At 46.6% G+C, this 25,117-nt stretch overlaps 1 pseudogene, besides 9 other annotated features; it reads right to left on the reverse strand.

Annotated features, from left to right (window-relative positions):
* Nucleotides 1,570–1,770: a silencer, noted in NCBI's record as "peak5757 fragment used in MPRA reporter construct". NCBI's record gives its function as "represses an SCP1 promoter by STARR-seq MPRAs in K562 erythroleukemia cells {active_cell/tissue: K562}" and the evidence as "EXISTENCE:reporter gene assay evidence [ECO:0000049][PMID:32103011]".
* Nucleotides 3,313–3,814: an enhancer, noted in NCBI's record as "H3K27ac hESC enhancer chr6:33316599-33317100 (GRCh37/hg19 assembly coordinates)". NCBI's record gives its function as "activates a minimal SCP1, AML or CMV promoter by ChIP-STARR-seq in naive H9 embryonic stem cells {active_cell/tissue: H9 hESC(naive)}" and the evidence as "EXISTENCE:reporter gene assay evidence [ECO:0000049][PMID:30033119]".
* Nucleotides 3,815–4,314: an enhancer, noted in NCBI's record as "H3K27ac hESC enhancer chr6:33317101-33317600 (GRCh37/hg19 assembly coordinates)". NCBI's record gives its function as "activates a minimal SCP1, AML or CMV promoter by ChIP-STARR-seq in naive H9 embryonic stem cells {active_cell/tissue: H9 hESC(naive)}" and the evidence as "EXISTENCE:reporter gene assay evidence [ECO:0000049][PMID:30033119]".
* Nucleotides 9,512–10,108: an enhancer, noted in NCBI's record as "OCT4-NANOG-H3K27ac hESC enhancer chr6:33322798-33323394 (GRCh37/hg19 assembly coordinates)". NCBI's record gives its function as "activates a minimal SCP1, AML or CMV promoter by ChIP-STARR-seq in naive H9 embryonic stem cells {active_cell/tissue: H9 hESC(naive)}" and the evidence as "EXISTENCE:reporter gene assay evidence [ECO:0000049][PMID:30033119]".
* Nucleotides 11,898–12,494: an enhancer, noted in NCBI's record as "H3K27ac-H3K4me1 hESC enhancer chr6:33325184-33325780 (GRCh37/hg19 assembly coordinates)". NCBI's record gives its function as "activates a minimal SCP1, AML or CMV promoter by ChIP-STARR-seq in naive H9 embryonic stem cells {active_cell/tissue: H9 hESC(naive)}" and the evidence as "EXISTENCE:reporter gene assay evidence [ECO:0000049][PMID:30033119]".
* Nucleotides 16,864–17,048: a silencer, noted in NCBI's record as "fragment chr6:33330150-33330334 (GRCh37/hg19 assembly coordinates)". NCBI's record gives its function as "represses an EF-1alpha promoter that drives an FKBP-Casp9 reporter gene in an ReSE screen in K562 erythroleukemia cells {active_cell/tissue: K562}" and the evidence as "EXISTENCE:reporter gene assay evidence [ECO:0000049][PMID:32094911]".
* Nucleotides 18,367–18,866: an enhancer, noted in NCBI's record as "H3K27ac hESC enhancer chr6:33331653-33332152 (GRCh37/hg19 assembly coordinates)". NCBI's record gives its function as "activates a minimal SCP1, AML or CMV promoter by ChIP-STARR-seq in naive H9 embryonic stem cells {active_cell/tissue: H9 hESC(naive)}" and the evidence as "EXISTENCE:reporter gene assay evidence [ECO:0000049][PMID:30033119]".
* Nucleotides 18,930–19,630: an enhancer, noted in NCBI's record as "H3K27ac-H3K4me1 hESC enhancer chr6:33332216-33332916 (GRCh37/hg19 assembly coordinates)". NCBI's record gives its function as "activates a minimal SCP1, AML or CMV promoter by ChIP-STARR-seq in naive H9 embryonic stem cells {active_cell/tissue: H9 hESC(naive)}" and the evidence as "EXISTENCE:reporter gene assay evidence [ECO:0000049][PMID:30033119]".
* LYPLA2P1 (LYPLA2 pseudogene 1) lies at nucleotides 19,228–20,853 on the reverse strand (annotated as a pseudogene).
* Nucleotides 19,631–20,329: an enhancer, noted in NCBI's record as "H3K27ac-H3K4me1 hESC enhancer chr6:33332917-33333615 (GRCh37/hg19 assembly coordinates)". NCBI's record gives its function as "activates a minimal SCP1, AML or CMV promoter by ChIP-STARR-seq in naive and primed H9 embryonic stem cells {active_cell/tissue: H9 hESC(naive and primed)}" and the evidence as "EXISTENCE:reporter gene assay evidence [ECO:0000049][PMID:30033119]".

Below are 25,117 nucleotides of genomic sequence, written 5' to 3' on the forward strand. Positions count from 1 at the left end.
CCATTCCCCCGGCCCCACTCAGCTGGAATTGTCTAAGAACTCATTCTTGGCGTTCACTGCAAGCTATAAACTCTGCAAGTGGTGCACCCGACGTGATCGCCTTGAAGTTATGCGTGAAAGGAGGAGAGCTCATCAATTTTAAGAAAATCCCGGTAAGGGACAGTCCTGACTACCATCAGGTGGACAGGACCCACGCGAAAAATACCAGGGGTTCGGTTATCATGGGTCAGGAAATGAACAAAGAATAATTTTTTTTTTTTTTTGAGATGGAGTCTCACTCTGTCGCCCAGGCTGGAGTGCAGTAGCGTGATCCCGGCTCACTGCAACCTCCACCTCCCTGGTTCAAGCTATTCTCCTGCCTCAGCCTCCTGAATAGCTGGGATTACAGGTGCACGTCACCCCACAACAGGACTTAATTAACCTTGCCTTCAAGGTGTACAATAATAGAGAAAAGTTACAATTACTTGCCTCTGCTGTGAGACAAAACCCAGCTGCACCTCCAGCACACGAGAACTTCAAAATGCCTAAGCCGCACATGCCTAAACCGCAGTGGTCAAGCATTCCTACAGGACCTTCTTCATCAGGATCTTGCTTCAAGTGCCAGAAATCTGGCCACTGGGCCAAGAAATGCCCACAGCCCGGGATTCCTCCTAAGCCGTGTCCCATCTGTGCAGGACCCCACTGAAAATCAGACTGTCCCACTCGCCTCGCAGTCACTCCCAGAGCTCTGGGATCTCTGGCCCAAGACTCTCTGACTGACTCCTTCCCAGATCTTCTCAGCTTAGCGGCTGAAGACTGATGCTGTCTGATCACCTTCGAAGCCTCCCGGGCCATCACGGACACTTTGGGTAACTCTTACAGTGGAGGGTAAGTCACCCTTCTTAATCAATATGGAGGCTACCAACTCCACATTACCTTCTTTTCAAAGGCCTATTTCCTTTGCCTCCATAACTGTTGTGGGTATTCATGGCCAGGCTTCTAAACCTCTTAAAACTCCCCAACTCTGGTGCCAACTTGGACAATATTCTTTTATGCACTCCTTTTTAGTTATCCCCACCTGCCCAGCTCCCTTATTAGGTCGAGACATTTTAACTAAATTATCTGCTTCCCTGACTAATCCTAGGCTACAGCCACATTTCGTTGCTGCCCTTTTCCCCAGTTCAAAGCCTCCTTCACGTCCTTCTCTTTTATCTCCTCACCTTAATCCACAGGTATGGGACACCTCTACTCCCTCCCTGGTGAACTATCCACGCCCATTACTATCCCATTAAAACCTAATCACCCTTACCCCGCTCAATGCCAGTATCCCATCCCACAGCATGCTTTAAAAGGATTAAATCCTGTTATCACTCACCTGTTACAGCATGGCCTTTTAAAGCCTATAAACTCTCCTTACAATTCCCCCATTTTACCTGTCCAAAAACCAGATAAGCCTTACAGGTTAGTTCAGGATCTGCGCCATATCGACCAAATTGTTTTGCCTATCCACCCTGTGGTGCCAAACCCATATACTCTCCTATCCTCAATACCTCCCTCCACAACCCATTATTCTGTTCTAGATAAACCTAGCTGACCCCATAGATCCTAAATCCTTTCTCCTCTCCCCTTTCCATTCCTTAAAACACAGCTCCCACACTAGCTCTCCATGACTCATCCCGACCCTTTTCATTACACACAGCCGAAGTGCAGGGCTGTACAGTCAGAATTCTTACACAAGGACCAGGACCGCACCCTGTAGCCTTTTTGTCCAAACAACTTGACTTACTGTTTTAGGCTGGCCATCATGTCTCCGTGCAGTGGCTGCCACTGCCCTAATACTTTTACAGGCCCTCAAAATCACAAACTATGCTCAACTCACTCTCTACAGTTCTCATAAATCTATTTTCTTCCTCACATCTAACACGTATACTTTCTGCTCCCCGGCTCCTTCAGCTGTACTCATTCTTTGTTGAGTCTCCCACAGTTACCATTGTTCCTGGCCAGGACTTCAATCCAGCCTCCCACATTATTCCTGATACCACACCTGACCCCCATGACTGTATCTCTCTGATCCACCTGACATTCACCCCATTTCCCCGTATTTCCTTCTTTCCTGTTCCTCACCCTGATCACACTTGGTTTATTGATGGTAGTTCTACCAGGCCTAATTGCCACACACCAGCAAAGGCAGGCTATGCTATAGTATCTTCCACATCTATCATTGAGGCTACTGCTCTGCCCCTCTCCACTACCTCTCAGCAAGCTGAACTCATTGCCTTAACTCGAGCCCTCACTTTTGCAAAGGGACTACATGTCAATATTTATACAACTCTAAATATGCCTTCCATATCCTGCACCACCATATTGTTATATGGGCAAAAAGAGGTTTCCTCACTACGCAAGGGTCCTCTGTCATTAATGCCTCTTTAATAAAAACTCTTCTCAAGGCCGCTTTACTTCCAAAGGAAGCTGGAGTCATTTACTCCAAGGGCCATCAAAAGGCGTCAGATCCCATCGCTCAGGGCAATGCTTTTGCTGATAAGGTAGCTAAAGAAGCAGCTAGCATTCCAAATTCTGTCCCTCACGGCCAATTTTTCTCATTCTCATGGGTCACTCCCACCTACTCTCCTGCTGAAACTTCTACCTATCAGTCTCTTCCCACACAAGGCAAATGGTTCTTGGACCAAGGAAAATATCTCCTAACAGCCTCACAGGCCCATTCTATTCTGCTGTCATTTCATAACCTCTTCCATGTAAGTTACAAGCTGCTAGCCCACCTCTTAGAACCTCTCATTTCCTTTCCATCGTGGAAATCTATCCTCAAGGAAATCACTTCTTAGTGTTCCATCTGCTATTCTACTACTCCTCAGGGAGTGTTCAGGCTCCCTCCCCTCCCTACACATCAAGCTCAGGGATTTGCCCCTGCCCAGGACTGGCAAATTGACTTTACTCACATGCCCCAAGTCAGGAAACTAAAATACCTCTTGGTCTGGGTAGACACTTTCACTGGATGGGTAGAGGCCTTTCCAACAGGGTCTGAGAAGGCCACTGCGGTCATTTCTTCCCTTCTGTCAGACATAATTCCTCGCTTTGGCCTTCCCACCTCTATACAGTCCAATAACAGACTGGCCTTTATTAGTCAAATCACCCAAGCAGTTTCTCAGGCTCTTGGTATTCAGTGGAACCTTCATACCCCTTACCATCCTCAATCTTCAGAAAAAGTAAAACAGACTAATAGTCTTTTAAAGACACACCTCACCAAGCTCAGCCTCCAACTTAAAAAGACTGGACAGTACTTTTACCACTTGCCCTTCTCAGAATTCGGGCCTGTCCTCGGAATGCTGCAGGATACAGCCCATTTGAGCTCCTGTATGGATGCTCCTTTTTATTAGGCCCCAGTCTTATTCCAGACACCAGCCCAACTCGGACTGCACCCCAAAAACTTGTCATCCCTTCTATCTTCTGTCTAGTCATACTCCTATTCACCATTCTCAACTACTCATAAATGCCCTGCTCTTGTTTACACTGCCGGTTTACACTGTTTCTCCAAGCCGTCACAGCTGGTATCTCCTGGTGCTATCCCCAGACCGCCACTCTTAACTCCCTCTTAAAGTAAATAAATAATATTTGCTGGCAGGGCACACTCCAATACTTTCACCCTGATGAAGTCCTATTCTTTACTTTTATACTCACTCCTATTCTTGTTCCCATTTTTATGCCACCCTCTACCTCTCCCCAGCTAGCTCCACCACACTATCAATCTCATTCACTCTCTCCTAGCCGTTTCTAATCCCTCATCAAACCATTGCTGAATTTGCATTTCCCTTTCTTCCTGCGCCTACACAGCTGTCCCCGCCTTACATACAGACTGGGCAACCTCTCCTATCTCCCTACACCTCCAAACTTCCTTTAACAGCCCTCACCTTTACCTTCCTAAAGAACTTCTTTACTTTCTAGACAGGTCCAGCAAGACTTCCCCAGACATTTCACTTCAGCAAGCTGCCGCCCTCCTCCACACTTACTTAAAAAACCTTTCTCCTTATATCAACTCTACTCCCCCCATATTTGGACCCCTCACAACACAAACTACTATTCCTGTGGCCGTTCCTTTATGTATCTCTCGGCAAAGACCCACTGGAATTCCCCTAGGTAATCTTTCACCTTCTCGATGTTCCTTTACTCTTCATCTCCGAAGCCCAACTACACACATCACTGAAACAATTGGAGCCTCCCAGCTCTGTATTACAGATAAGCCCTCTATCAATACTGGCAAACTTAAACACATTAGCAGTTATTATTGCTTAGGAAGACACTTACCCTGTATTTCACTCCATCCTTGGCTACCTTCCCCTTGCTTGTCAGACTCTCCTCCCAGGCCCTCTTCTTGTTTGCTTATACTCAGCCCCGTAAATAACAGTGAAAGGTTGCTCGTAGACACTCAAAGTTTTCTCATACACCATGAAAATCAAACCTCCCCCTCTACGTAGTTACCCCATCAGTCCCCATTACAACCTCTGACGGCTGCCGCCCTAGCTGGATCCCTAGGAGTCTGGGTACAAGACACCTCTTTCAGCACTCCTTCTCATCTTTTTACTTTGCATTTCCGGTTTTGCTCCGCACAAGGTCTCTTCTTCCTCTGTGGATCCTCTACCTACATGTGTCTACCTGCTAATTGGACAGGCACATGCACACTAGTTTTCCTTACTCCCAAAATCAATTTGCAAATGGGACTGAACATCTTCCTGTTCCCCTCATGACACCGACACAACAAAAAAGAGTTATTCCGCTAATTCCCTTGCTTGTCGGTTTAGGACTTTCTGCCTCCACTATTGCTCTCGGTACTGGAATAGTAGGCATTTCAACCTCTGTCACGACCTTCCATAGCCTCTCTAATGACTTCTCTGCTAGCATCACACACATATCACAAACTTTATCAGTCCTTCAGGCCCAAGTTGACTCTTTAGCTGCAGTTGTCCTCCAAAACCACCGAGGCCTTGACTTACTCACTGCTGAAAAAGGAGGACTCTGTATATTTTTTAATGAAGAGTGTTGTTTTTACCTAAATCAATCTGGCCTGGTGTATGACAACATAAAAGAACTCAAGGATAGAGGCCAAAAACTCGCCAACCAAGCAAGTAATTACTCTGAACCCCCTTGGGCACTCTCTAATTGGATGTCCTGGGTGCTCCCAATTCTTAGTCCTTTAATACCTGTTTTTCTCCTTCCCTTATTCGGACCTTGTATCTTCCGTTTAGTCTCTCAATTCATCCAAAACTGTATCCAGGCCATCGCCAATCATTGTATACGACAAATGCTCCTTCTGGGATTACAGGCGTGAGACACCGTGCCCAGCCATTTTTTTTTTCCTAAAGATGATAACCATTCTTTTCCAGCTGTCTTTTCTTTTTTTTTTTTTTTTTTTTGAGACAGAGTCTCACTCTGTCACCCAGGCTGGAGTGCAGTGGCGCGATCTCAGCTCATTGCAACCTCCACCTCCTGGGGTTCAAGCAATTCTCCCACCTCAGCCTCCTGAGTAGCTAGGATTACAGGCACCCGCCATCATGTCCGGCTAATTTTTGTTTTTTTTTTTTTTTGGAGAGATGGGGTTTCACCATGTCAGCTAGGCTGGTCTTGAACTCCTGACCTTAGGTGATCCGCCCGCCTCAGCCTCCCAAAGTGCTGGGATTATAGGCGTCAGCCACCACACCGGGCAACAAATGCTCCTTCTAACAACCCCACAATATCACCCCTTACCACAAAATCTTCCTTCAGCTTAATATCTCCCACTCTAGGCTCCCACACCGCCCCTAATCCCGCTCGAAGAAGCCCTGAGAAACATCACCCATTATCTCTCCATACCACCTCCAAAAATTTTCGCAGCCCCAACACTTCACCACTATTTTGTTTATTAATATAAGGAGATAGGAATGTCAGGCCTCTGAGCCCAAGTTAAGCCATCATATCCCCTGTGACCTGCAGGTATACATCCAGATGGCCTGAAGCAATTAAAGATCCACAAAAGAAGTGAAAATAGCCTCAACTGATGACATTCCACCATTGTGATTTGTTCCTGTCCCACCCTAACTGATAAATATATTCTCCCCCACCCTTACGAAGGTACTTTGTAATATTCTCCCCTGCCCTTAAGAATGTAGTTTGTATGCCTATCCCAAACCTATAAGAACTAATGATAATCCCACCACCCTTTGCTGACTCTCTTTTCGGACTCAGCCCGCCTGCACCCAGGTGAAATAAACAGCTTTATTGCTCACACAAAGCCTGTTTGGTGGTCTCTTCACACAGACGCCGGTGACACTATTTTCCTAAGCCGTCTGGCTAGTAGCCCCTAATTGTTCAGCTATTCCTCTAACAGCATCTCTAGTGTAGTTAATAAATCGCTATTGGTTGTAATAGACGTAGTTTACCCAATCTACACTTTTATTAATTGTTACCCACCAAAATGTTGACTTAAATCCTGCAGCAATTTGATTTTGGGCTTTAAATTGATCTGGTATTCCCCATGGGACTCTTAATTGTGTCTAAATAGACGTGAGAGTCGAAAGACCCATAAAGGGCTTCTCTTGCTTTATGATACTTATTTTTCCTTCCTCTCGTTGATGAAATAACAGGGTGAAAGGGATAGCCAATTGGAATAAAGCACAAGTGCCATTCCAGTTATTTGGCAGTGTCCAGTAAAGATCCACCACAATACCACCACACATCCACTCGGGGATGAACAAGGGCTGACTGATTGATAAGCTCTTGAAAATTCTTAAGCTCACTGCATCCTTCAGGTCTCCAAGGAATGCTAAGTTTCCTCCCTATTGGGAGAGACACGAAGTGAACTTAGTGTTGGGAGACAGAAGCTGGATGGCCCTCGGGGGCTGACGCGCAGGGTGCCGGACTTCAGGATATAGCAGAGAGAGAGCTTGGCGTGAGTTATTACTCCAGGCTGTAGAATCCTGGAAAAGAGCTACCATGCAGCCCACACCTGGTCGACTGGAGGACCACCTTAGTGGAAAGGGGACAATCTGGGCCTCTGGCCTGCCATGTGCACAAGCATAACAATTGCTTTTGTTTAATGTGGACGGAATATTTGATCCATTCCAACCAGGCATTTGCATCTTGGTATCCTGTGTTAATTGCCAAAATGTTTTTTAAGTCTTTAACTTCTATGATCCTCTAGTAAAATGAATATATGGTTTTAGGAAATTACAAAAACTGATTGGGGCAGTCCATACTTGCTCTTTAGTGATCCACAGAACGTTGGACCGACTACGGCATAAAAGCTCTACATTGGGGGTCAAGAATCCTGGTTGACATTGGGATCTTTATCGAAATCCCCCCGGATTCAGTGGTCCTAATTTACTAATGCCCAGTGTGAGGAGAGTCAGGAGGGACAGAGGTACTTTTCAGAAGTAGAGAGCTGTCTTTGACTTGGCAAGTTCCTACGGGATATAACAAGGCAAGCACTAAATGCAATAGTTTGAGGCGAAATTGACTTGGTTATGTTAATAACTAGATGGTCAGCAATAGAGCGAGGAAAGGAGAAAGAGTAATAGAATAGATGAAAGAGTTAAATTTTTCTTAGCTTTAATTTGGTAGGGTTTCCCCCTGGGACTATGGCCCACAACTCTGGAGGGGGTGGTGCTTTCTTGACTCGGGTGTGATGAATCCATCCCTTTTTCGCTGTACAAACTGCAGTCTCGGTGGTTGGCAGCACAAGGTAGGGTCCTTCCCAGGCTGGCTCGAGTTTTCCTTCTTTCCACCCTCTGATGACAACATGATCTTCAGGCTGGTGCTGGTTTACCAGAAATTTTAGGGGTGGTACCTGTGCTAAAATATTTTTAGTTTTGAGGGAGAGGAAAGTGGAAGATAAACCAAGCATATAATTTCTAAGAAATCGACCTTTTGTTTTAAATGTGGGGACATCAGCAGTGGACTTTATAGTCCTTGGTGCCTTCTTACTGAGAAATTTCCTTTAGCACTTATTTTTATTAGTTTTTTTAGACCAAAGAACGCCAAACACCATTTTATATTTGACAGTGCTTCCTGTATGATTTTTATACCAGATAAGCTAAATTTCACCTTTATATTAGTGTGTTATTAATTTTTTTTTTTGAAACGGAGTCTCACTCTGTTGCCCAGGCTGGAGTGCAGTGGCGCGATCTTGGCTCACTGCAACCTCTGCCTCCCGGGTTCAAGCAGTTCTCCTGCCTCAGCCTCCCAAGTAGCTGGGACTACAGGCACACGCTGCCACGCCCGGCTAATTTTTTTGTATTTTAGTAGAGACGGGGTTTCACCTTGTTGCCCAGGCTGGTCGCGAACTCCTGAGCTCAGGCAATCTGCCCGCCTTGGCCTCCCAAAGTGCTGGGATTACAAGCGTGAGCCACCGCGCCCGGCCTATTAATGTTAAACTTAGTTTTAATAACACTTTGTAGACATATTTATCCAATTTTTAATGTCTGATCATAAGGTAAGTTTTTGTTTTTTGTTTTTTTTTTTTTTTTTGAGATGGAGTCTTGCTCTGTCGCCCAGGCTGAAATGCAGTGGCACGATCTCGGCTCACTGCAAGCTCCACCTCTCGGGTTCACGCCATTCTCCTGCCTCAGCCTCCCAAGTAGCTGGGACTACAGGCGCCCACCACCACGCCTGGCTAATTTTTTGTATTTTTAGTAGAGACAGGGTTTTACTTGTTAGCCAGGGTGGTCTCTATCTCCTGACCTCATGATCCACCCACCTCGGCCTCCCATAGTGCTGGGATTATAGGCGTGAGCCACCGTGCCCGGCCCATAAGGTAAGATTTTTATAGACTGTTTTTTTTTTTCTTTTTGAGAAGGAGTTTCACTCTTGTTGCCCAGGCTGGAGTGCAATGGTGCAATCTTGGCTCACTGCAATCTCTGCCTCCCGGGTTCAAGGAATTCTCCTGTCTCAGCCTCCCAAGTAGCTGGGATTACAGGCATGCACCACCACACCCAGCTAATTTTGGATTTTTAGCAGAGATGGGGGTTTCTCCATGTTGGTCAGGCTGGTCTCGAACTCCCGACCTCAGGTGATCTGCCTGCCTCGGCCTCCCAAAGTGCTGGGATTACAGGCATGAGCCACTGAGCCTGGCCTGTTTTTAACTTTTTATAATTTTTGTTAAACAGCGGGTTAGTGCTTTAAGAAAAACCCGTTGTGTTTTTATTTTAATGCTCAGTTCACAGAAAAACTGGGTGATACCCTTTTAACCTTAGCCAATATGTTTACACACATAATTTCCATTACAATTAACATTTTAAAACTTGCTTAAACCTTCAAAACAAATTTTTTTTTTCTTTTTTGAGATGGAGTCCCACTCTGTCACCCAGGCTGGAGTGCAATGGTGCGATCTTGGCTCACTGCAACCTCCGCCTCCCACGTTCAAGTGATTCTCCTGCCTCAGCCTCCTGAGTGAGTAGCTGGGATTACAGGTGCCCACCACAACGCCCAGCTAATTTTCGTATTTTTAGTTGAGACGGGGTTTCACCAGGTTGGCCAGGCTGGTCTCAAACTCCTGATCTCAGGTGATCCACCCACCTCGGCCTCCCAAAGTGCTAGGTAGGATTACAGGTGTGAGCCACCATGCCTGGCCACAAAATTTTTTTTTAACCTTTTAATGTAGGTAAAAATCCACATTCTTATGCCTCCTTATAATCCTTTTACTAAAAGTATATTTTACTTTCCTTATACATCTTGCACATAAATTGTTTCTTCAATAGTTTTACATTCAGGGTAACACCCCTGGTGGCCTTTGGAATGTGTCCAGACTTGCTGGCTTCTTGCTTCTAGCACTCCCATTATCTCAAGTAGCCATACATTTCAAAGAAAATGCTAAACCATCACATCTGTAGTTCATTAGCTTGATACATCGCTTCCTTTCAACCCCCACATCCTCACCCCCTGTTTGTTTGATCACCAATAAATAGTGTGGGCTTCCAGAGCTCCGGGCCTTTGCAACCTCCATACTAGTATTGGCCCCCTGGTCCCACTTTCTCTCTGAACTTGTGTTTTCTCATTCCTTTGACTCTGCTGGACTTCGTAGCCCCCACGGCCTGGTGTTGGGTCTGATCACCCCAAAAGGTTGATGGCCTTTTTTTTTTTTCCTGCATTGCTGAGAGCTTGGGTTATTCCTTGCACTGGGTAGGTCTTGATTTTTCACGCCTGAGGCCGCCACAATAGGGCGGGGTTCACCTCCTCAAGAGAGAGAACCAGAGACCACCCCCAGAGGGGAATGTAATCCCAGACAAGCCCCCAAATTGTTATATATAAAGTTTCGGTGCCGCAAAAGGAATATCACTCAAATATAAAATTTTCCTTTTAATTCTCAGCAAGGCTAGGTACTTCTATATAGAAGGGTGCACCCTTACAGATGGAACAATGGTGAGCGCACACTTGGACAAGGGAGGGGAAGGGGTTCTTATCCCTAATGCACGTGGCCCCTGCTGCTGTTTCGTTCCCCTATTGGCTAGGGTTAGACAGCACAGGCTAAACTAATTCTGACTGGCTAATTTAAAGAGAATGACGGGATGAGTGCTTTGGCGGGAGTCAGGGCAGAGCAGGTGGCAGGTGATCAAAATGAGTTAGGGTGGAGCAGGAGATCAGAATGAGTCAGGGTGGAGTAGGTAATCAAAAAAGATTGCTTTACGAGGAAGTTAAGTTTAAAAGTAGAAGGTAAAGAATTGAACATAATGACAATTATTTGAAAAGAAATTTAGAACTCATATCTAATACCCTGGAATATAAGAGGAAGTTGCATGCTGCCTCCTCGGTTTTATCCCAGGTAGCTCTAGCTTTCTTGCTGCCCACAGAGGCCTGGAGCAGGAGAGATGCTAAGATGCCATGGAGTGCCCATTTGGCCACTGGCAGTCTGGGCAGGTTGCCCCTTTCTGGGTTTGTGGTGACGGAGGGGAGGCCAAAAGGCGCAGACTGAGTCCCCAGGTGGCTGCAGGCAGCTCCAGCCCAGTCCTGAGGATCCTCCTCACCATGGTCACCTGCCTTAGTAACTGTGCCCAGGAAGTGGCCTGCTGCTTGCTGTGCTGCTGCTTTTCCTACTTCTGCCCTTCCCTGCCACCCCTCACATGTCTCAGTTGACAAGCAATTCCTTGTCTCCCCTGGCCCCCTAGGGAAAGGGCTAAGAAACAGTCCATGTACACCCCGACCTTACTAGCCTAAGGTGGGCAAAGGAGTGTGGAGCAGCCTAGAGTACAGAGCCCTGGGGGAGGAGCCCGCTAATAAGGGACGCTCTCCTATAGCCATATTTAAATGCTAGCTAGGCTGAGGTGGACAAGCTCTGCCAGCTGCTGTCATCTTCAGAAGATAGACGCAGCAGTAAGGAATATTTGTTTTGCTTTTTTATAAAATGTTTAAAAGCACTGTGGCTAAGAAACTTCAGGCCGGGCGCGGTGGCTCATGCCTGTAATCCCAGCACTTTGGGAAGCCGAGGTGGGCGGATCACGAGGTCAGGAGATCGAGACCATCCTGGCTAACACGGTGAAACCCCGTCTCTAAATTAGCCCGCTGTGGTGGCGGGCGCCTGTAGTCCCAGCTACTCGGGAGGCTGAGGCAGGAGAATGCTGGGAGTGGTGGCATGCGCCTGTAGTTCCAGCTACTCTGGAGGTCAAGATGGGAGTCCAGGGCGGTTGAGGCTGCAGTGAGCCAAGATCGTGCCACTACAACCCAGCCTGGGCAACGGAGCGAGACCTTGTCTCAAAAAATTAAAATAAAATAAAAACTCCCACAAGGAAGAAAGTAGTCATCTTTATAGAGTCCTCTCCATGTAGTGTTAGCACAATCGCTCAAGAGGCACCCAATGTAGAGAAACGACGGTGAGGTTAGCAGTACCAAGGAGCAGGGTTTGAATCCCGGCTCTTGCTCTTTTTTTTTTTTTTTTTTTTTTTTTTTTAGTATTTATTGATCATTCTTGGGTGTTTCTCAGAGAGGGGGATGTGGCAGGGTCATAGGATAGTAGTGGAGAGAAGGTCAGCAGATAAACACGTGAACAAAGGTCTCTGGTTTTCCTAGGCAGAAGTCCCTGCGGCCCTCGGCAGTGTTTGTGTCCCTGGGTATTTGAGATTAGGGAGTGGTGATGACTCTTAAGCATGCTGCCTTCAAGCATCTGTTTAACAAAGCACATCTTGCACCGCCCTTAATCCATTTAACCCTGAGTTGACACAGCACATGTTTCAGAGAGCACAGGGTTGAGGGTAAGGTTATAGATTAACAGCATCCCAAGGCAGAAGAATTTTTCTTAGTATAGAACAAAATGGTGTCTCCTATGTCTACTTCTTTCTATGCAGACACAGTAACAATCTGATCTCTCTTTCTTTTCCCCACATTTCCCCCTTTTCTTTTCGACAAAACCGCCATCGTCATCATGGCCCGTTCTCGATGGTCGCTGTCTCTTCAGAGCTGTTGCGTACACTTCCCAGACAGGGCAGCCTGGCAGAGGCGCTCCTCACCTCCCAGACGGGGTGGCCGGGCAGAGGCGCCCACTTCCCAGACGGGGCGGCCGAATCCCGGCTCTTTCATGTTTTAGCTGTTGGGCTTTGGGGAAGTTATTCTACCTCTTTCAGCCTGTGCACCCTGTCTCATCATTAAAAAATGAGAATGAGGCCAAGTGCAGTGGCTCATGCCTGTAATCCCAACGCTTGGGGAAGCGGAGGCAAGAGAATTGCTTGAGGCCAGGAGTTTGAGACCAGCCTGGGCAACATAATGAGATCCCAATCTCTGCAAAAAAATTTAAAAATTATCTGGGCATGGTAGCACACGCCTGCAGTTCCAGCTACTCAGGAGGCTGAGGTGGGAGGATCACTTGAGCCCAGGAATTTGAGGCTGTAGTGATTGCTCCACTGCACTCTAGCCTGGGTGACAGAATGAGACCCTGCCTCAAAAAAAAAAAAAAAAAAGTGAAAAGTGAAAATGATAATACCTACTATGAAGGATTGCTTTAAGAAGAAATGAGATAATGTACACAAAAGTACATCACATATCGCTTAGCATGTGGCTGAGACTCAGAAAAAATCCTGGCTTTGTTTTCCTGCATTGGGAGTTTATTGTTGTCAAAGTGATGGTTCCAAGAAGTCAAAGGAGAGCCAGAGAACTGGACAGCTCAGCAGCAGTTGGTTTGGGTCACCAAATGCCTCTCTTCCCTCCCTATTGCCACTGACTTAGATCCTGGAGATGTAAGGTTTTAAAAACAGCAGCCTATTATCTTTTATTTTTGGTAATCCTTGTAACCTGGTTCCCTATCTTAATGAAAAAAACCAATGGTTCTGGCTTTATTACCTAAAGAAAGGAATGACAGTATAATACCAATTATAAATAAATGGGTCAAATTTTTGGCTTTAGAGTTTCAAAGACTTATGGCATTAAAAAAAAAAAAAAGAAAAAATGGACCGGGCGCAGTGGCTCACGCCTGTAATCCCAGCACTTTGGGAGGCTGACGCGGGTGGATCACTTGCAGTCAGGAGTTTGAGACCATCCTGGCCAACATGGTGAAACCCCGTCTCTACTAAAAATACAAAAATTAGCCGGGTGTTGTGGCACGTGCCTGGAATCCCAGCTACTTGGGAGACTGAGGCATGAGAATCCCTTGAACCCGGGAGGCAGAGGTTGCAATGAGCTCACTGCACTCCAGCCTGGGCGACAGAGCAAGACTCTGTCTCAAAAAAAAAAAAGAAAAGAAAAGAAAAAAAGAGAAAATGAAGAGTTCCTTTTCTCAACACTCTCATCAATACATGCATGCACACACACTCTTGCATGCAGCCATGAATTCTCATGTGTGCATACACACATTCAAAGGACTAGATAAAGATTCTCCAGACTTTGCAATAGGGAAGTCAGGTGGAAGCAGGGAGCTAGAATGGATAATGTATGAAGAAACTATTAATGTGTTTTTTCCTTTTATACTCTTTTGCCTTCAGCAAGTAAATGACCTCTTTCTTATTTGGTTGTGGCATCAAACTGCTTGTGAGGAGATTAAGATTGTTTCAGAAGAAATATAAAGAGAAGGAAATGGTAATATGCATCTATTGAAATTCAAAATAGGATTTTGCAGCAAGACAATGGACTTGAAAACTGGACTATGAGAAAGAAATTGTTTTCTGCATTCATTTAGCTCCCATTTAACATAATCAAGAGCCAGATCTAGAATCAAGTTTCTACCAAAGGAGGAGGTAATTTAATCTCTCATCTTTGATTTCCTATATGTCCATAATGAGGATAATAACAGCTACCTCAACAGATTGTTTCCAAAGGGAACCCTTGTCTTTTGAAGTGGCAATTAGAGCTAGGAAGCCAAAGATAAGATATGAAAAGAATAAAAGAGAAGCCTACCACTTCTCATCTTGGAGTTTCAACAAGACGAAGGCAGGGAGGTGAGAGTCAAGGAGATGCCTTGGAATTGGGGGAATGGCTTCAGAAACATCCAGAAAACAGAAGAGATCACTGAAGCTGCTACAAAATTTTGCCCATTGTAGATAAGTGGGCAAATCAGGATGCACTGGCAGGGAGACAGGGTCTGTTTTGTGTTACCAGCCCTTTTCCAGTGATGGGTATTGAATTGAGAGCCATGGGCCTGCCATGGGGCATGGGGGGTAGGAAGAGGGTGACCTGGCAGCAGAGGCATGTGGTTTGCATAACTTGGTTAGGAGCTGAATGGGAGACATGGTAGAGATTCAGGGGTCCCACTGGGCTACCGAGAGCCACAGGGAGGTTGAGTCAGCCAGAAAGCACCAGTGAGATCAGATCCAGCCAAGAGATCCACGAGAAACTCTAAATGTTGACTTTAGCCAAAGGCCCCCAGGATGAATGTGACCAAGTACATACTGACTCATAAACCGGAGGAGCTGGAGGACACTCTGAGAACCCAAGGACCCTTGCTGTCCTCCTATACCTGTCCCCAGGAGATTGCTTAAGCCACTCTATTTATTTTCATGCTCATGGGTTTGTGAGTTGTCTGTGGTTTGTCTAATCAGGCTGGGCTTGACAGGGCTTGGTAGGACTCCTTTAGTCCTGGTCCAGTGTCTATTCTGGGTCACAGCTGAAGGGGCAATGGATATCTGGAATTTGCCTTTCTCTTGTCAGATCACAGGAGTGCAAGAGGCCAAGCCAAACTACAAAAGCACATTGAAAGCATCTGCTTGCATCGTGTCCTCTGACATTCTGTTGGCACAAGCAAGTCACACAGCAAAGGGGATGGATGTACACTTAAATAATAAGGAGGAAGCAAAGGATTGGGAATAACAGTCCAAACCACCACAGGGCCCTACCTACCCCCAAGAAGTAATATCCTCAGATTGATCTGGGAAATCCAAGAGCAGATGATGTTTCCCATGTGCCAAGAATATCAGTGGAGTATCACACAGAGGGCCCCAAAAGCCAGCACGCCAAGGATGATGGAGCAGGATGAAGAGACCCTGGGTCTTAGATAATATCGTTAGGGGGCTTACTGGCTGCTGACCTCCGGACATTTTTGAAATATGAAACAATTAAATGTCTTTATTAACTGACATTATTAGCTGAGTTTTCTGTTGCTTTCATCTGAATGCATCCTCACTGTTGCAGGACTCTATTTTTATTTTTATTTATTTATTTATTTTTGAGATGGAGTTTCACTCTTGTCGCCCAGGCTGGAGTGCAATGGTGCCATCTTGGCTCACTGCAACCTCCACCTCCCGAGTTCAAGTGATTCTCCCACCTTAGCCTCCCCAGTAGCTGGGACTACAGGCATGTGCCACTATGCCAGGCTAATTTTGTATTTTTAGTGGTGACAGGTTTCACCGTGTTGGCCAGGCTAGTCCTGACCTCAGGTGATCTGCCCACCTCGACCTCCCAAAGTGCTGGGATTACAGGCTTGAGCCACCACGCCCAGCCTTGTTGCAGGACTCTTATTAACCCTATTTGTCCATGAGACCCAGAGACATAAAGGCGGGAGTTTGGGTTTTTTGTTTTGTTGTTTTTTCAGGCAGCCCTCTGAACCAAAATGGGTTCAGAGAGACTCCCTGGAGGTTGGGTTTGATCTCAGACTTTGTCTCCAGAGCACATGCTTTTACCCACCATTGTGTTATCCTACCTTCCAAGCTTGCGTGAGGCTGAAGTGTCTTATGTACTTGTAGTTTATTCAAAGGATAAAGTGGTAAAATGCCCTCATAGTGAAAAAGTGAAAGGTCTGTGCATGGCAGTAAAAAAGTGCCAATGTGACCTTGGTCTGGCCGGTAGCTGGTCAACTCAGGAAAGAGTCAGCTCCCAGAGACCCCTACTCAGTTGTAAGGCTTGTCTTGGGATTGCCCCAGCTTTACTCAGAGAGGAATGTTGTAGTGAAGGTGACTCCATCCAACAATTTAGTCAAACCTGCTTGCTTGAATCAGGCCCTCTCAAGTACCTCCTCCCTTCATTACTCTATTCTCCTTTGAGATACTGGGAAGGAAATTTAGCAAATAGCTGGTCTAAGCCATCAGCTCTCAGATCCACTCTATAGATTAAGATATCTGGATCACATGGAAATATTTGTCTAAGTTGATACCAGGGACAGACCCAACCATGGTCTGCCCCCAGGAGGTGCTCAGTCAGGATTTACTAATAAACAAACAAACCATCATCTAGTATTAAGGACTGATGATTGTCACTAGGATCCAGCGATAACTTGACTTAAAGTTCTATTTGCCAGAATATTCAGGGTTATTGACATTCAAGGGAACTGACTGACGCTAGCCAAAGTCACACGAGACTGATAGGTAAGCTAGAATACCTGGGACATTGATTTTTCCAGTGAGTAGTGAATTCTTGTTCCTCAGCCTAAGGCACTTCCTGGTACTAAGGTGCAGATGCAGACTAAACAAGATGATTACCCAACATGAGCCAGAGGGTCAGAACCTGGTGAGGGAAGTTTCTCCAGGGCCCTGCAGAAGCCACTGAGCTATCCGTGCCTTGGGTGGATTTAGGAATTTTGAAAGTGTGACTTAGGCCGGGTGTGGTGGCTGACGCCTGTAATCCCAGCACTTTGGGAGGCCGAGGCGGGTAGATCACGAGGTCAGGAAATCGAGACCATCCTGGCTAACACGCTGAAACCCCGTCTCTACTAAAAAATACAAAAAATTAGCCAGGCGTGGTGGTGGGCGCCTGTAGTCCCAGCTACTCGGGAGGCTGAGGCAGGAGAATGGCATGAACGCGGGAGGCGGAGCTTGCAGTGAGCCAAGATCGCACCACTACACTCCAGCCTGGGCGACAGAGTGAGACTCCGTCTCAAAAAAAAAAACAAAACAAAAACAAAAACAAAACAAAACAAAAAAACTGGAAAATCTAGTCCTGCCCAAGCTCCTCTCTCTGTCTTTGAGGGGAGCCAATCTCCAGAAATCGCTGCTGTCTTCCCCATTACCCTGCATGGCTGCTGGCTCCCAGGTGACCATCCCAGAATCTCCAAGTGTTCAGGGCCACCTCTGCTGCATCTGCCAGAACTCCCAAGCTTCACTGACCTCCTATGATGATGGGGCCCCTGGTGCTGACACAGCTCAGCCTCTTTATGAGAGGCTCCTGCACAGAGGGACCAGGACTGCACTGACACCTCCTTGCCTAGGGCTCTGCTTCCACAGCTGGGCTGTAGCCCTTCTTTCTTCCGGTCTTCTCCTTTGTTCTGAAGCAGGAGGACTTCCCAGGGCATTCCAGTTTGCCGTGTTTCTTTCACTCATTCCGCCAAACATATTTATTGGTGGCCAATTTTGTGACATCAATGTGCTAAGCACTGGGGTAGTGGTGAACAAAAGTTAGGTCCCTGTCCATGTAGTTTAGGGTCCAGCTGAGAATACCAACATTTAATGAGACATCACAATGAAATGTGCTGAGAGTCATGGAACAGAGACACCTAATCTAGTGGGAGAGAAAGCAAAGCCCTTTCTAACAATGTGAAGTTTATGATGAGAACTGGAGAATGAGTAGAAATTAGCCCCGTAAAAGAATGGGGGCGAAGAGGCTTACTGTTTTATACAAATTGCTTCCAATAGCAGAAAAATGCTTCATGAGATAATTACCTAGATACAGAGTTATAACCAACATTAAAAACAAAACAAGCGGCCAGGCGTGGTGGCTCACGTCTGTAATCCCAGCACTTTAGGAGGCCGATGTGGGCAGATCACGAGGTCAGGAATTCGAGACCAGCCTGGGGAAGCCAACATGGAGAAACCTTGTCTCTACTAAAAATACAAAAATTAACCGGGCGTGGTGGTGGGCGTCTGTAATCCCAGCTACTCAAGAGGCTGAGGCAGGAGAATCGCTTGGACCTGGGAGGCAGAGGTTGCAGTGAGCCGAGATTGTGCCACTGCACTCCAGCCTGGGCAACAGAGCAAGACTCCGTCTCAAAAACATAAAAAAAAACAAAGAAAAGAAAACTAAAAACAAACAAGCAAAGAAAAAAAAATGCCTTTCAAAAAGAGAGTATACTTTCAAACTATTTTATAAGACTTAATATAACCTAGTCTGGTAGCAGTGGCTCATGCCTGTAACCCCAGCATTTTGGGAAGCCAAGGCGGGTGGATCTCTTGAGGCCAGGAGTTCGAGACCAGCCTGGCCAACATGGCAAAACCCCATCTCTACTAAAAATTTAAAAACATTTTTTTAAAAAATTAGGCGACCATGGTGGCACATGCCTGTAATCCCAGCTATTCGGGATGCTGAGACACAAGAATAGCTTGAACCTTGGAGGTGGAGGTTGCAATGAGCTGAGATTGTGCCACTGCACTCCAGCTTGGGTGACAGAGCGAGACTCTTATCTCAAAAAAAAAAATTAATATAACCTCTATAACAATATTAGACAAAGACAGTGAAAGAAAGGAAAGCTATAGGCTAATCTCACTGACAAACATACCTGGAAAAATCCTAAATAAAAGTTTTGCAAATGAAACCAAGCTGTGTGTGTGAGCATGTGTGTGTATTTGTGTACAATGCTAACTTGACAATGAAAAATAAAAAATCCATAAATAATGACTTATTTCACTTAGCATAATGTTTTTGAGGTTCCTCACCGTTGTAGCATATAATGTATCACTACCACATTCCTTTTTTTTTTTCTTTCCTTGAGACAGGGTCTTACCATTGCCCAGGCTGGAGTGTAGTGGTGTGATCATGTTTCACTGTAGTCTCCGCCTCCTGGGCTCAAGTGATACTCCAACCTCTTGCCTTCCGAGTAGCTGGGACCACAGGCACGAGTCACCATGTCCGGCTAATTTTTTTTTTTTTTTGAGGAAGCAATTTCTTTAATTTTATCAGAATCCAGGACACAAGAAGAAAAACACCCAAAAACCACATGGAGACAGAAGACAAGACACAACTCCTCCCCCACTGCCTCCCTGCTCTAGAGTGGGGACAAAGTGGGGGTGAGACAGCTGGGGGGAGACCTGAACCTCAGTCCAGCCCTACAGGCTCCAGGCCTGCAGGGAAGGAGGGTAACGGGGAGGCAGGGCCCAGCCCCCCAGTGTGGGGAAACAGCTGAGGGAAGGCCCCCCTCAAAAGGCTCCACCTCCTCACCAGCACTCCTGCCCAGGGACAGGGAGCCCACAGCAGCAAGGGGACCCCCGGGGCCATGGCCACGTTCATGACTGAGAAGCAGCTGAGTGGAGGCAGGAGACACAAGATTATCTGGGCAGAATCAGTTGGGGCAGGGGCCTGGGAGGGCCCCATGGGCCAAACCCTAAGGTTACAGGAGGGGGCCCAAAGTGGGGCTAGTGAGTGAGGTCCTGAGTGAGTGGGTCAGTGGCTGGGCCTCTTTCTCCAGCTGCCTGTAGCCCCTCCAATACTGCTGCCAGGGGGGCCCGCCTCCAGGGAAATGGGATAAGAAAGCAGCCTGCCCCTACTGCAGACAGAGCCAGGTGGCTGAGGCCAGGAAGGAAGGCCCAGCCAGGCCTTGCCACCTGCCCCTAGAGGCCTGTGGGAAAAGGACAGGTCAGGAAGGGTGGGGACAGGGGCTCGACCAGCTCAGACCCAAGATGGTGCCATGCTTACTTGCTGAGTCCCCCATGAGCTGGGGTACTGCACTGGGGCCAGCGACTAGTTAGACAGGAGGCAGCAGCTTCTCAAGAAATTCCTTCACAGCTGCCATCTCCTGAGGACAGGAGCTGTGCATGACACCCAGGTATGTCTGGAACTGGACCCTGGCAGGTGTGACAACAGACCGGAGCTTCTCAGCCATCAGGGCCCCAAACCGTACGGGCACCATGGGGTCCAGCTCCCCATGGCACTGGAGGATGGCCAGGTCCTTGGCACTGCCATTAGCTGCCTGGGGGAAGGCCCGGTGCAGAGGCGGCCAGCAGCTCAAAGCCAGGATGCCAGCCAGAGGGTGGGGGCAGGTGAGGGCCATGTAGAGGGACAGGGCCCGGCCCTGTGAAAAGCCTCCCAGGATGATTTGATTGGCAGGGATCCCGTTCTTCATTTCATGCTCAATCAAGGCCTTGATGTTCTCTGCTGCCTTCTTGATGCCAGCCTCGTCCTCTGGGGCATCTGGACTCAGCCCCATCAGGTCAAACCAGGAGGGCATCACCATCTTCATGTTGAGGGTCACAGGGATCCTAGGCTCATGGGAACAGATGTACTTGACGTGAGGGAGCCGAATGGTGGAGAGGGCGTCAGCCCAGCTGTGCCCTGTGTCTCCAAGTCCATGTAAAAAAATAACCACGGCCGTTTCCCGCTCAGCTCCAGACACGGTGGCAGCATCGTTGAGCAGGGGCACAGACATGGTGTTACCACACATACACCACACGGCTCCATGGCAGGGGCCTCCACTCCCTGGGACTTCTGAGGCCGCTTGGGTGATTCTCCTCTTTCTCCCGCAGACACACACTCTTCCCCCTCGGCCGCCCCCGCCGGAACACTAATTTTTTTATTTTTTTATTTTTAGTGGACATGGGGTCTCCCTATGTTACTTACCTAGCCTGGTCTCAAACTCCTAGGCTCCAGGGATCCTCTTGCCTCAGCCTCCCAAAGTGCTGGGATTACCACGCTCAGCCCATCACTCCCTGTGTTCCTTTCATTTATTTTTTTCTTTGAGACAGAGTCTTACTCTGTCACCCAGGCTGGAGTGCAGTGGTATGGTCATGGCTCACTGCAACCTCAACCTCCCAGGCTCAAGTGATCCTCCCATCTCAACCTCCCTAGTAGCTGGCATTCCTTTTTATGGCTGAATAATACTCCATTGCCTGTACAGATCACAATTTATTTATCCATTCATCAGTTAGTGGGCATTTGGGCTGTTTTCACCTTTTGGCTATTATAAATAATGTTGCTATAAACATTTGTATACAAGTTTCTGTGTGGATATATATCTTCATTTTTCGTGGGTATATACCTGGGAGTAGAATTGCTGGATCATCTCATAGATAAACAAAGCCAGACACTAGCTAAAGTGGTAAGGACAGGACAGGCACAGAGGCTCACGCCTGTAATCCCAGCGCTTTGGGAGGCCGAGGCAGGCGGATCACTTGAGGCAAGGAATTCGAGACCAGCCTGACCAACATGGTGAAACCCCATCTCTACTAAAAAACAAAAATTAGCTGGGCATGGTGGTGCACACCTGTAATCCCAGCTACTCAGGAGGCTGAGGCAGGAGAATCGCCTGAACTCGGGAGGCAGATTTTGCAGTAAACCAAGATTGTGCCATTGCACTCCAGCCTAGGCCACATAGCAAGTCTCCGTCTCAAAATAATAAATAAATAAATAAATAAATAAATAAATAAAGTGGTAAGAACAGATTTTAATCAGTGACATATTATTGCAATAGGGAAAAGAGCCTAGCTTGAACTGAACTCAACTTTGATTTGTAGAGATAACTGGGCATTTTAAAGCAAGAATGAAAGAACAGAGAGGGTGAGTGGGGACTCAATGACGTCAGAGAAGTGACAGATTACAAAAAGTGGGAAGGGGGTTGGTCTGTGTTAAGCCCACCTGGCCTTGTTAGCTGGGGCTTATCATTAGGCTCCTACACTCTCACAGCAGCTGGGAAACAGGGGCCTTACCTTCATCTGTGGGCTGGAACAAACAGTACATTCTTTTGGCAGCCTTGAGTTCTCTCAGTCAGACACTTTAAAGGGCATTAGGGTCATCCTAGAGATGTGGCCTTGAACTGTTAGAAACTATGTTAGTGTTCATGAAAGTCTTTATCAAGTCGGACGCAGTAGCTCATGCCTATAATCCCAGCACTTTGGGAGGCCGAGGTGGGCGGGTCACTTGAGGTCAGGAGTTCGAAACCAGCCTGGCCAACATGGTGAAACCCCATCTCTACTAAAAATACAAAAAAAACTAGCTGGGCTTGGGGGCAGGCGCCTGTAATCCCAGCTACTCAGGAGGCTGAGGCAGGAGAATTGCTTGAACCCGAGAGGTGGAGGTTGCAGTGAGCTAAGAACGGGCCATTGCACTCCAGCCTGGGGGCAACAAGAGTGAAACTCTGTCTCAAAAAAAAAAAAAAATCCTGGTTTTTTTTTTTTTACCTTTTTTTTTTTTTTTGAGACGGAGTCTTGCTCTGCTGCCTAGGCTGGAGTGCAGTGGTGCGATCTCGGCTCACTGCAACCTCCGCCTCCCTGGTTCACGCCATTCTCCTTCCTCAGCCTCCCAGGTAGCTGGGACTACAGGCGCCTGCCAACACACCCCGCTAATTTTTTGTATTTTTAGTAGAGGTGGGGTTTCACTGTGTTAGCCAGGATGGTCTCGATCTCCTGACCTCGTGATCTGCCCGCCTCAGCCTCCCAAAGTGCTGGGATTACAGGTGTGAGCCACCGTGCCCAGCCCCTGGTTATCTTTTTGTACCTTTTGAAATATATGTAAATATGCTGGTTTTGCAAACATTAAATTAATAATAAAAGCCATGCCATAGCAGACTACATCATATATAGGTATATAACCAATAAAGAATTACTGTCTAGAATTTACAAAGAACTCCACAAATCGATATGAAAAAGACAACCAACCCAAGAGAAAAAAAAATTTAAATATAGGAAAGACAATCCCTCAAAGAGAAAATAGAAAATGCAAATTAATACTGACATTTTGGGCTTCAAAAAAAAGCAAATTAAAATAACGACAAGGGCTGGGTTCAGTGGCTCACGCCTGTAATCCCAGCGCTTTGGGAGGCTGAGGAGGGTGGATCATGAGGTCAGGAGTTCAAGACCAGCCTGGCCAAGATGGTGAAACCCCATCTCTACTAAAAATACAAAAATTAGCCAGGTGTGGTGGCAGGTGCCTATAATTCCCGTTACTCAGGAGGCAGAGGCAGGAGAGTTGCTTGAACCCAGGGAGGGGGTGGGGGCGCAGAGGTTGTAGTGAGCTGAGATCATACCACTGCACTCCAGCCTGGGCAACAGTGAGACTCCGTCTTAAAATAAATAAATAAATAAATAAATACATACATACATACATAAAATAAAATAACGATGAGGTGAAAAAAATAAAATTAATAAAATTAAAAATAAAATAATAAAATAACAAGGCGACATTCATTAAATTGGCAAAGACAGGTTTGGGAATATCAGATGTTGCTGAAGCTCCAGGGCAACAGGGACTTTCTTCTAGTGGATGGGAGCGTAAACCAGAAAAACCACTGTGGAGACCATTTGGCAATATCTAGTAGAGTTGATAATACAACTCTACTTATGAGCTTATACCCAGCCTCTCCCACATTTGCTCAAGAAGGCATGCAGAAGTATGTTCATTGCAGCATTTTTTAATATAACAGTATATAAAGTAATTGGAAATACTTTAAAATCCATAAACAGAAGAATGGATACATTATTTGTGATATATTTATATAATTGAATATTAAAGAGCTGCGTTATCCCACATGGTAGCAATGAGCCACATGAGGCTATTTAAACTTAAATTTAAATAATTAAAATTACGTCTATGTTTCACATTTTAAAAATTTAAATTTAGTTCCTTGGCCAGGCACGGTGGCTCACGCCTGTAATCCCACCACTTTGCCGAGGCGGGCGGATCAGGAGGTCAAGAGATCGAGACCATCCTGGCCAACAGGGTGAAACCCCATCTCTACTAAAAATACACAAATTAGCTGGGTGTGGTGGCACATGCCTATAGTCCCAGCTACTCAGGAGGCTGAGGCAAGAGAATCGCTCGAACCCTGGAGGTGGAGGTTGCAGTGAGCTGAGATCACGCCACTGCACTCCAGCCTGGCGACAGAGCAAGACTCCGTCTCAAAAATTAGTTCCTTTGTCACATTAGCCACATTTCAAGTGCTCAGTAGCCACATGTGATTAGTGAGTACCCATATTAGACAATGCTGATATAGAAAATTTCCATCATTGCAGAAAGTTCTATTGGACAGCACTGTTCTACAACATAAAATGAGCTAACTGGGTCTAAATATTTCAAAAAGAAAAAAAAACAAAAAACATCAAAATATAAGACTCAAAAATATGAAGTTCATCAGAAAAAGAAGGCAAGTTGTAGAACACATAGAATATCCTCCTATTTAAAATTTGGTACAGCATGATGACTATAGTTAATAACAATGTATTGTAGGCGCGGTGGCTCACACCTGTAATCCCAGCACTTTGCAAGGCTGAGGAGGGCAGATCACCTGAGGTCAGGAGTTCGAGACCAGCCTGGCCAATATGGTGAAACCCCATTGCTACTAAAAATACAAAAATTAGCTGGGTGTGGTGGTGCGCACCTGTAGTCCCAGCTACTTGGGAGGCTGGGGCAGGAGAATCTCATGAACCCGGAAGGCAGAGGTTGCAGTGAGACGAGATCACACCATTGTACCTCAGCCTGGGCGTCATAGCAAGACTCCCTCTCAAAACAAACAAAGCAAAACAGGCCAGGCATGGTGGCTCACGCCTGTAATCCCAGCACTTTGGGAGGCCGAGGGGGGCGGATAACGAGGTCAGGAGATTGAGACCATCCTGGCTAACACGGTGAAACCCCGTCTCTACTAAAAATACAAAAAAAAAATTAGCTGTGTGATGGCTGACGCCGGTAGTCCCAGCTACTTGGGAGGCTGAGGCAGAAGAATGGCATGAACCCAGGAGGCGGAGCTTGCAGTGAGCCGAGATCGCGCCACTGCACTTCAGCCTGGGTGACAGAGCGAAACTCCGTCTCAAGAAAAAGACAAACCAAACCAAACCAA

Source organism: Homo sapiens, chromosome 6, assembly GCF_000001405.40.
Source record: "Homo sapiens chromosome 6, GRCh38.p14 Primary Assembly".
Taxonomy (NCBI): domain Eukaryota; kingdom Metazoa; phylum Chordata; class Mammalia; order Primates; family Hominidae; genus Homo; species Homo sapiens.